The sequence below is a fragment of the Homo sapiens genome, chromosome 6 (assembly GCF_000001405.40).
Source record: "Homo sapiens chromosome 6, GRCh38.p14 Primary Assembly".
Lineage (NCBI taxonomy): Eukaryota > Metazoa > Chordata > Mammalia > Primates > Hominidae > Homo > Homo sapiens.
In genome coordinates, this window is record NC_000006.12 from 123,624,941 (window position 1) to 123,637,034 (window position 12,094).

Sequence of the window (12,094 nt, forward strand, 5' to 3'; positions counted from 1 at the left end):
TGCCTGACCGAAAATTTAGTATTTAAATCAGGAATTTTACCCAATTTCTTGGCAAGGTAAGTTGGTATCCCAGTCATCCCAGGGCTACATCCCACAGACTACTAATTCTCACCTACTTCCTGTCTCTTTTTTTTTTTTTTGTCATTTCTGCATTGATCAAATGTACTCTTGATCTCCTTACTCCTTGAAAAATCATTACACCTTCACAATAATGTCATGTGCACTGCGAATTACCAGTGTTAAGAATAGGACATTCTTTAGTTATACTAAATTATTTTCAGCAAGTTTCAAAGTGAAATAATCATAAGATTTATGAACAATAATATGACATTCTTTACATCAAACACCATAAGGCACACCTTGGAGATACCATGCAATAAAGCAAATAATTGCAAGAAAGCAAATCACACATTTTTTTTTCTGTATCCTAGTGTATATAAAAGTTATGTCTGCACTGTATTCTAGTCTATTAAATGTGCAATAACATTATGTCTTAAAAAGCAGTGTAAGACCTTAATTTAAAAATACTTTGTTGGTGGGGATGGTTAATGGGTACAGAAATATAGTTAGAAAGAATAATATCTAGCATTTGATAGCACAATAGTGACTACAGTCAACAGTAATTCATTGTACATTTAAAAATAACTAAAAGAGTATAACTGGACTGTTTCTAACACAAAGAAAGGATAAATGCTTGAGGTCATGGATACCCCGCTTATCCTGATGTGATTATTACTCATTGTATGCCTGTATAAAAATATTTCATGCATCCCATAAATATATACACCTACTCTGAGCCAACAAGATTGAAAATAAAAAATACTTTATTGCTAAAAAATACTAACAATCATGTGAGCCTTCAGTGAGTCATAATCTTTTTGCTAATTGAAGGTCTTGCCTTAATATTTATGGCTGCTGACTGATCAGGGTGATGGTTGCTAAAGGTTGGAGTGGCTGAAGCAATTACTTAAAATAAGACAAGAGTGAAGTTGGCCACATCGATGGACTCCACATTTCATGAAAGATGTCTCTGTAGTATGTGACATTCACTGTTTGATAGGATTTTACCCATAGGAGAATTTCTTTTGAAATCAGAGTTAATCCTCTTAAACCCAGCCATTGCTTTATCTTCTACTCTATGTTATATTCTAAATCCTTTGTAGTCATTTCAACAAAGTTCACAGCATCTCCATTAAGAGTAGAGTAGCTTCCATCTCAAGAAACCACTCTCTTTGCTCATTCATAGAAAGCACCTCCTAGGCCAGGCATGGTGGCTCATGCCTGTAATCCCAGCACGTTGGGAGGCCAAGGTGGGTGGATCCCTTGAGACCAGGAGTTCAAGACCACCTTGGCCAACATGGTGAAACCCCGTCTCTACAAAAACATACAAAAATTAGCCTGGCAGTGTGATGCACACCTATAATCCCACTACTCAGTGGGTGAGGCACGAGAATCACTTGAACCCAGGAGGCAGAGGTTGCAGTGAGCCAAGACTGTGCCAGTGCATGCCGAACTAGACACTGGCTCAAAAGAAAAAAAAACAACAACAAAAAAGTCACTCTTCATCCATTCAAGTTTAATCATGAGATTACAGCATCTTCAGCTTCCACTTCTAATTCTAGATCTCTTGCTGTTTCCACTGCATCTGCAGTTGCTTCCTCCACTGATGTCTTGAGCCCCTCAAAGTCATCATGAGGGTTGGAATCAACTTTTTACATAATGGTGATATTTTGACCTCCTGCCATGAATCAAAAATATTTTTTATTGTTCAATTCCCCATGTACCCTAGAACTTAAAGTATAATAATAACAATAAAAATAAAAAAATTTGTAATGTAAAAATTATATTTTTTAATGGCATCTAGAATGGTGAATTCTTGAGAAAGTTGTCAATATAGTTTGCTTGGATCCATAAGAGGTATTTCTCCCTATGTCACCTATAGCCTTATAAAATGTTTTTTTTAATTTTTTATTATTTTATTTTATTTTATTTTATTTTATTTTTTGAGACAGAGTTTTGCTCTTGTTCCCCAGGCTGGAGTGCAGTGGCACGATCTCGGCTCACTGCAGCCTCCACCACCCGGGTTCAAGTAATTCTCCTGCCTCAGCCTCCCAAGTAACTGGGATTACAGGTGCCTGCCACCACGCCCAGCTGATTTTTTGTATTTTTAGTACAGGCAGGGTTTCACCACATTGGCCAGGCTGGTCTTGAACTCCTGACCTCAGGTGATCCACCCACCTTGGCCTCCAAATTGCTGGGATTATAGGCATGAGCCACCGAGCCTGGCCCACAAAATGTATTTCTTAAAAAATGTCTTGAAAATCAAAATTACTTCTTGAGCCATGAGCTGCAAAAATGATCTTCTGTTAGGCACGAAAACAACATTAATCTTTTTGTATATCACCATCAGAGCTCTTGGGTGACCAGGTGCATTGTCAATAAGCAGAAATACTTTGGAAGAATTTTTTTTTTGAGTAGTAAATCTCAACAGTGGGCTTAAAATATTCAGTAAACTATGTTGTAAACAGATGTGCTGTCATGCAGGCTTTATTATCTCATTGATAGAGCACAGGCAAAGTAAATTTATTGTAATTCTTTAGAGCCCTGGAATTGTCATAATGGTAAACCAGCATTGGCTTCAACTTGAAGTCACCAGCTGCATTATTCCCTAACAAGAGTCAGCCTAAACTTTGAAGCTTTGGAGCCAGGCATTGACTTCTCCTATCTAGCTCTGAAAGTCCTGGATGGCATCTTCTTCTAATAGAGGACTGTTTAGTCTACATTGAAAATGTGTTGTTTAGCGTAGCCACCTTCATCAATGATCTTAGCTAGATCTTCTGGATAACTTGCTGCAGCTTCTACATCAATCCTTGCTGCTTCCACCTTGCACTTTTATGTTGTGGAGATGGCTTCTTTTCTTAAACCTCATGAACCAACCTCTGCTAGCTTCCAACTTTTCTTCTGCAGCTTCCTTACCTCTCCACATCTTCACAGAATTGAAGAGATTTAGGGCCTTGGTCTGGATTAGGCTTTGGCTGAAAGAGAATTCTGGCTGGTTGGATCTTCTATCCAGACCACTAAAACTTTCTCCACATCAGCAATAAGTTTGTTTCACTTTCTTATCATTCATGTGTTCAGTAGCACTTTTAATTTCCTTCAAGAACTTTTCCTTTGCATTCACAACTTGGCTGTTTGGTGCAAGAGGCCTAGCTTTCAGCCTATCTTGGCTTTTGGCATGCCTTCCTCAGTAAGCTTAATTATTTTCAGCTTTTGATTGAAAGTAAAGATATGCAACTCTTCCTTTCACTTGAATTCTTAGAGGCTGTTGTAGGTTATTAATTTTCCTAATCTCAATATTGTTGTGTCTCGGGGAACAGAAAAGCCTGAGGAGAAGGAGAGATAGTGGGAATGTCTAGTTGTTGGAGCAGTCAGAACACACATATTTATTGATGAAATTCACCATCTTATATAGGGGCAGCTTGTGGTGACCTAAAACAATTACAATATTGATATCAAAGAACAATGGTCACAGATCACCGAAACAGACATACCAATAACGAAAACATTTGAAATACTGTGAGAATTACCAAAATGTGACACAGAGACAGGAAATGAACGCATGCTGTTGGAAAAATGGTGGTGATAGCTTTATTCATTTTCTTTGAAAAATGCAATATCTGTGGCATGCAATAAAGCAAAGTGCAATAAAAAGAGACATGGCTGCAATTCAAATTGGAATCAAATGTTTTATAATCTGTCCAGTCTTTATTCTCACTGTTATTTTTTGCTCTTTTCTTTTTGTTTTGCAATGTAGCAGGGACCTTTTATCATTCATTTTTGTGTCCACATTGTCAGGCATTCAATTTGGTACGTAATAGGTATTAAAATATTGAATAAAACCAAACCTCTGGCATGACATACTGCTTCATAAATCTACATCTAGGATGATAATTAATACCATAGAATCTAAAATTTTGTTATATTTCAGATGGAGGTAACTTGCCTTTTTCTAAATGCAATGCCTAATATTTCTGCAGATTTAAATTCACAAACTTGGCATTTTACTATACTGTAGTAACTTTCAGATTTTACAGTACGCTTTTTCCCCTAGTCAATAATATATAGGTTAAATCAGAATAACCATGGGCAAAAATAATAGCTCCAGCAGTGAATGTCAGAGAAGTGCCACTTCATATCTCTTATTTTTGTCTTGACATTATATTAAATGTCTTCCTCAAACAGAAAATTCCCCTAATCACATGATAATTTTATTTTCAAAGGCAACAGACAATTTTCCAAGGAAAGTTTGCTAAATATGTATTTTGAACGTCTGTATAAATGGAAACTGAATCTCTCACATCCACGAGCTCACTAATGCCCTAGACCATATTAAAACTAAGTTTGAAATACTAAGAGTTTTTCCTTCTTTTGTTTTTCTCAACACTTCAGTAACCTGTGTCAGGGAGGGGAGAATGATGCAGCAAATGCGTAGCAAAGATAAAACTGGTTTGTCACAATGAGTTCCAGCTTCATGCTGTCTAAATGAAACCAAGTTTCCCCTATAAAGAACAGGTTGCTCCATTTAAATTATCTTTGTTCTTATAGGTCAAAATATCATGTCTTTAACTTGTTTGGGTGAAAACCACATGCCCTAGCTTCTGGCACAGATAACAAATTAGAAAATATCTAAACCACATATATTTAAATGTAATATTTAAAGTACATTGTAAGTGAGATAGAGTCTGCAGTTTATGAGGAAACAGCTCATTTACATACCAAAGAATCTCTCACAATTGTAAATTCTGTGTGTCTTTGACAGCTTCACTTCAGGCATGGAGATGTGGAGATGTTTGATGTTTAGAGAGCATTAACTTGTATAGAGCAGAGCAAGACTTTATTCATTGCACATTTGCCAAGGATACTCTTTTTGGTTTCCTTTGAAGATAAAAATTACTATCTGTTTGGACCAGGAAGTTCATCTGTCTCTGCATAACCCTCACTAGGGGTAATATATATTTACATGACAATCAAATAAGTATTCTCTGTAAAAAACCAAGCCTGTCATTCGTATTATCCAGGGCAGGTGGGAACTGGAGACAGCAAAAACTTAACCTTGACAAATCTTCCTAGAACTTTAAGTAAAATGGAGCCTGAACTCCGTAAAGTCGACATTATTGTATGATGTTAATGCATAGTTGCCAGATGAAGATTTTTCCCCTGCTTTGTTCTTTTTAAATATGTTACATTAGATAATATGTATTTTTTAAAAATACATTAAACATGTCCCCAACGGGTTTCTTTTTGTTTGAAAGAAGAAAAGAATAATGTTTTAATACTATCTTTAAGCTCCAACTAAGCATAACTATAAAACCAAAAGCTTTACTGGAAAATCTTAACCATTTTCTTTTCAAATTGATATATTCAACACAAAGGTCAATGTAGATGATTTTAAAATTGCTTAGTTGCACTGTTTTATGTTTCTCTCATATTAAATATTGTTAACTGATTAAAAATTAATGCCAACAGTATTGGAGGCCTTAAGTCTCTATGGATTCCTAAGCCTTTAGTATAATAACTGAATAGCCTCAATTCATTTTTGCATTGTAAAAGTAGCATGAATTTTAAATTACAGTCATAATGATAACCAAAAATAAATAGGAAAAAAAATAAGAAACATTTAAGCTCATAAACGGAACATTTTCATGGATACTATGTGCTTATGGGGTGGGGAGAAAAATAGTTCCTATTACAAATAATAATAAAAACTACAAGAAAAAGCTTCTTAACGGAACCTAACAAGGGCTGACACTACACAGCTATATTTTCTGCTCATTGTCACTGCAAATTTTGTATCATGGATGATTTGAACAATTTAAAAAACATAAACTTAATTTGCCAAATAGCATGATCTTGTAAAATTTTTAAAAATTCCTCTGGCCATATTATTTTTAATTAACCAAGTTCATGACCCTTCTTTTGAGGCCCCATCCTCCCCAGACCAAGAGTGGTTGAGTAGTGGAGATAGTGCCTGAACCCCAATTTCTGACTTAAGTAAAACTCCATGCACTTACTACTCTATCACACTCTCTTTTCTTAATGCTTCTTTCTCCCAGCTCTGCACTATATTTTCTCTCTGATTTTCAGTGAACTATACTCTCCTGGTTTTCACAATCTGCTTTTTTTTTTTTTTCTATTTTCCTAAAGTGAACTTGAGCAGTAAAGAATAACAAGAAGTTTCAGAGTCAGACTAATCAGGTTTATGTGATACCTGCCTTTCACAGTTTTTGTGATATTTCAAAGAGATAGTCATACAAAAGCTTCATACTTAATACCCTGTCAATAAATGCAATGTTCCAAGCCATAGCACTTTTTAGAACTATTTTTTCTTGCATCATGTTGACTTCTTAGGCTTTCAAATTGTTCTCAGGTTTTCCCATGACCTATCTCAAAAACAAACTATTTCTAATTAATGTCTCTAATTAATGTTACCAATAATATGAAACTAACCTCCAGATTCCCATATTATAATAGATATTAAAAATGATTACTTCCTTGTCTGCTTTTACAAACATAAGTATATTTCCAGACTACTCTGCTTAATATGAGCATATTTGGTTTTCATTTCAGTAACAACAGACACTGTTCAATTTAGAGAGTAATTTGCACTTACGAATAAATTTGGTGACCAGAGAATTCACTGACCCATATATGTTATGAAAATTAAATTCTTATTAAAAGATTTACTCTACTAACAACATCAACTCTGTTTTTTTTCTTAACTCTTTATTGTGAAGAAGCTTAAATAATCCCAAAAGTAGACAATATTATAATGAAACTTAATGTACCCATTATCAGCCTCAACATAATCAACTAATGGCCAATCCTACCCCACCCACACCCCAACTACTTTCTTCTTGGGCATATTATTTAGAAGCAAATTTCAAATATCACATCACCTCCTTCATAAATATTTGAATGTGTATCTCCAAATAATAAGTAATTTTAAAAGACAACCACAATACGGTTATCCCACTAAAAATATAATTATTCATTAAGGTTATCTAACATCCAGAGTATATTAAATTTTCACTTGTTTCATCAGAATTTTTTAAGGTTGTTTGTTTGAATCATGATCCAACCATTCCATACATTGTGATGGGTTGCTAACTTTTTACATTTCTTTTCATCTGTTCTCCAGATTTTCTTGTTCTTGTTCCCAGGAACTTATTTGAAGTAACTGGGTTGTTTGTACTGTAGAGGTTCCCAGAGCCTACTGCCTACTATGGTGTAGATTTTGGCATATTCCTCATCCCTCTATTTCTTAAAAATTGGAGGCTGTGTATTTCCTTTTCCTTCCCTCCTTTCTTGCTTTCTCTTTTCTTTCTTTCTAGTCAGAAGAGTCAGTTCTAGCTATCATTTTAATGGTTGGTTGGGTTTTGCCTTGTATTTTGCCAATAGTGTGCCTTTTTTGTGACTTCCAGACTTTTATCCATGGGTCTGTGCATTGCCCTCAAGTGCTACATAATGAAAAAATCCAGTCTTCTACTTAAACAAACCATGCACAAATCTTTTCATTTAACTGTGCCTTTCACCATCGTGGTACTCCTCTTTTGAATAGGCTAGCTTTCTAATGTCAGTTTTAAAATGTACTTATAAGACTAAAAATAATATATGTGGTATGTTGCTTTATCAGGAAAATCAAGAACATCTCCTGGAAGTGACCAGGGCTTGAAACTAGTGCTACATCCCTTTGTACCCCCAGCTCATCCCCGCTTAAGCCAGGGCAGCTGCCCTTTGCTTTGATGAGGTAAATGCAGAAACATAGGTTGGATCGCCTCATAATTTCACCATCTGTCATGCTAGATGATATAACTTGTTTGCCTAGTTGTTAAGTAGTCTGGCTGTGAATTCTTGATTTTTTTTTTTTCTTGAGAGCAATAGTGAGTAATCTTGTGCTGCAGACTCTATGGGAGTAATGCAGTGTGTAGAATATAAATGACCATTTTTGCTCTAAATTTTGAATATCAAATCTTCTCATAGGTTTGATTGTTACAGAAGCAGTGAAACGTGATTCGGCTAATGGTAAGGAAAGAATTCCACACATAGTGCAATAATTCTTCTCCTGAAGCCTGAGGTTATGTAATAGTTTATAAGTTGAGAGTTGGATATAAGCTCTTCTAACATTTTAAATAAAAAGCTTTCTTGAACTAAGCGTTCTAGTAAATACTAAGTTAATTATATATGGGATTCCCAGCAACTTGGATACATTACATTGCAAGGAAGATAAAGGACTGTTTATAGCCCTAAACCTGTGTGCTGTTTGAGTGTAATCCAGTCTGGGCCTGATTCAACCTACCTAAATGTAACATGGTCCTAGTGTAGGCTCCAATAACAACCTAATTGACCAACCTAACAGTCTCACACAGTAAGAAGACATATCCAATATGACTCTGTGGTCAGGCATGGGTATGAATCCTAGCTATATCACATACAGTTGTGTGAATTCTAGCACATTCTTTAAACTCTCTCAACTTCAGCTTCCTATTCTCTAAACAGCAATAATATTAGCCTTTATTCTCATTTGGTGGCCCTGAAGATTAAATGAATATTTATCAAGCTTAATACAGTGCTTGACATCTTATGTCTTCAGAATAAATATGTTATCATTGCTGTTATAATTATCTTTATTAATTTATTTTGCCAGAATCAAAGGTGTTATTACCCTAAAATCCTTTGGAGTTCAACTTTGTCCTATTTCTAATTTATCTATTACTCTGTACCTGAAACACAATTCTGTATTTAGCATTATTTCCTTTCTTCCACTGGATGAAGTAAGCCAGCTTGGAACCTGCAGTGGAAATTGATGTGAGCAACTAGGTGAGGTTATAGGCACGACATGCACTGTAGTTGAATAAGCACTGGGATGAGCCATGGGAGGCATGAAATTTATCCTCAGATCTCTCCTAATTTCCCATGACCATGAGACAGTCATATAATCTGTATGAGCCTTGTCTTCCCAAAACTTGAGATGAGAACAGTTAACTAGAGCTTTCTAAGGTAATGAGTTATCTCTTATATTCTTAAGTGCCACAAACTGTTTTGTGTGTGTGCGTGATAAATGGATGGAAAAGGTAATTGATTGATAGGTGGCATAGGTCTACTGATAGAGTGCTTACATTTCAGTAATGTGTCCAAAAGTGATTGCAAGCCCCAGGCGTGATGGTTCTTGCCTGTATTCCCAATGTTTTGGGAGGCAGAGGCAAGAGAATCTTGGCTTGAGGCCAGTAGTTAAGTACAGCCTGGTCAACATAAGGAGGTCGTGTCTTTACAAAAATAATAATAAAAAAAAAATTAGCCAGGCATGGTGGTGCACACCTGTAGTCCTAACTACTTCTGATGCTGAGGTAGAAAGATTGCTGGAACCCAGGAGTTTGAGACTGCAGTGAGCTATGATCATGCCACTGCATTCCAATATGGGTGACAGAGAAAAATTCTGCTCTAAAAAAAATAAAATAAATAAATAAATGGTTGAAAAAAATATAGCAGATGAGATAAAATAAGACTATTTCAGGCTCAGAAAATAGCCTGTACCAAGGCACTGTACAAAGGTATACCTTTTATAAAAGACTGGAGGAAGACAATTGTAGCTAGGGCACAAAAGGTGAGAATTGCAAAGATAACATGAAACTGTGTAGTAACAAAGTGTGAAAAAACTTTGGATATCATCAAAGAATGACTGTGCTTCCTTAAAAGATGAGTTCATTTGAGTTGGCAGTCTAATTTTCATTTGAGAAATATTATTAATAAATCATTCCAGAAAACAAAAAAAAATGCATAATTGATGTTCAGATAACATAGATCCTATGAACTGTTAAGGCCCGGAAGTGGAAAATGACCATCACCCAAGAATTAGATGGTATTTCTACTTTTTAATTTTATTACTAATGTAATTATTTTTATGGGTAACTCCAGAAGGTCTTCCAAGGCCCTTTTAAACCCCCGCAGAGCAAAGGCAGAAACAAAAGCTCTATTTCATAATCAAGAATTTTCCTGTAAAAAGTCTTTTGAATCAAATGCAAGTTCTACAAAACATAATCCACAAGCAAGCCCAAGATGGTTTAGTCAACTGACCTCCTGAATCACCTGGGAGCCCAAACCCTGAACAGAGGTAGAGAAACAGAAGATTAAGACGCTCGTAGCTATCTTAATAACTTGTGCAGAGCTAAACAAGAAGTTTTTATACATAGCTTTCTTTAAGGCAAACTAAAAGCAACATGACACAGAATATCTAAGGAATAGGAAAAATGCTATTTATATTTAGTTAGCAAATTCTGAACTAAAATTGGTAAAGAGTAAACCTGATATCCTCTCACAGAAAAGAAAACACACACACACACACACACACACACACAAACAAGATTTAAAGGGGCTGGGTTTAAATGTTGGTAATGCTGGTCTTGAGCAAGTCACATAACATTTTAGTTACAGTTCCTTTTTCTGCCAAACTGAGATAATAATGCCTACTTAATTGAATTGTGTCAGTTTTAAATAAGTAAACACACATAACGTTCTGAGCAAAATACCTAACACATAGAAATCTCTCAGTAATTGTTATTAATACGAGGTGTCAGACTGAATTTCTCAGTGCAAGGTACAAATAAGGCACTTCTTATAAATATTGACTAAAAATCTCCAACAGAAATTACTGTGTGTCCATACTAATTTCTACCCTCAAAAATAAAAACAAATATTCTATTTTTCAGTTGTATTATTCAAAGCAAACCAGCACAGCATTTAACTTGGAAGTTGTTAAGAGCACCACCTGTCTGATTTTCTTACAGCTGTCAGAAGCAAATTTTAGATCCACCTCCAAAAGTTTTACCTCAACTAGAACCAGACTGTGTCTGTATTCAAAGTAATTTAGTTTTGAAGGTTTCCTTCATTCTAAGAAATACGTACATATATATATGAAGTATATATGAAATATAAATATATATAACTAGCAACCATCAAATAGAAGATATGTATTATAGTATGTAGCTTTCAGTAAAGCATTGAAACAGAAAATATTTATTGTAACATAAAGATAGAATTTACCATTTAGAGGAAAATGAAGAATGAATTTACAAAAAGAACCAGAATTCTAACACTTAATTGCTTTATTTTAAAAATCATACTGATTCACAGTAAGTTTGTGGAATTCCAGTCTTTATCTCTGAATTTCCATTAATGGTCAAATAAATACAAATTTTATGGGAACACTTATGTCTTAAATTGTATATAAATCATATATATGTATGTGTGTTTTACATACCCTAGTAGGAAAGGAAAAACAAATTTAAGGTCTCCATTTAAAAATATCATAAAGCAGAAATGCTTCAAATTACTTTTTAAGTTTAAGTAAGCATTAGTGTAATATTTTAAGTAAGCATTAGTGTAATATTTTAAGTTCATCATGGTCTCCATCCTTGAAAACTTTGTAATTTTTGCTGGATAAGATATCGGCCATCATGTTACATGACCATAGCTATTTATAGAGGTGTGAGTAACAACTGTTAACTAGTGGGGCCTTTGGTATAGCAGAGAACAGTTTCCACATGCAAAATTTAAGAGAAATCTCTTTTTGCTCCCCCAATATACAGATCTGGCAGCCTCTCAGCTCCTAAATCCACTTCTCAGATCCTGTATAGAATCATTGACCAAGGCAATTACCTTAAAGCAACATTTTAAATGGACACATCGACAGTTAATGTGGCTGTCGATTTGCATATTTTTTTTCCTTACTTGATACTATCGGAAAATGGTAGCAATACCTTCAGCAGTGATCTCAGTCATGGTGGTCGTCAAAAGTAAAAGTCAGTTGAAAAGTTCCCGTCAAGTTGCACTTTGCAGAGTATTTGGGGATTTGAGAACTCTGGTGGAGGGTTCTGTGTCAAAACCTGGGGGCTCTTCGTTTTCCTGGCTGTTTCTGCTGCTTCTTTGTTGTCCTGTTGAACTTTGCCTCTCCTCTGCAGAGTTCTCCCCCTGGAAACAACCTAAGCCCTTTCCAAGCAGCACTTGTGGCTCAGCTAGAAGTATCAGCTTCAAACAAAAA

At 35.3% G+C, this 12,094-nt stretch overlaps 1 protein-coding gene and 1 long non-coding RNA gene across 7 annotated transcripts in view; one reads left to right on the plus strand and one right to left on the minus strand.

Moving 5' to 3' along the window:
• The window catches only part of TRDN (triadin), a 420,612-nt gene extending 408,602 nt beyond the window's left edge, over window positions 1-12,010 (minus strand). For all 6 annotated transcript variants that reach the window (NM_006073.4, NM_001407315.1, NM_001251987.2 and 3 more), the window contains exon 1: window positions 11,814-12,010. In NM_006073.4, coding sequence (NP_006064.2) covers window positions 11,814-11,835 — 22 coding nt within the window. In that variant the 5' untranslated portion in view covers window positions 11,836-12,010. The remainder of the gene's footprint in view (window positions 1-11,813) is intronic.
• The window catches only part of LOC105377981 (uncharacterized), a 58,946-nt gene that overhangs the window by 14,622 nt on the left and 32,230 nt on the right, over window positions 1-12,094 (plus strand). The gene's annotated exons all lie outside the window — the stretch shown is intronic.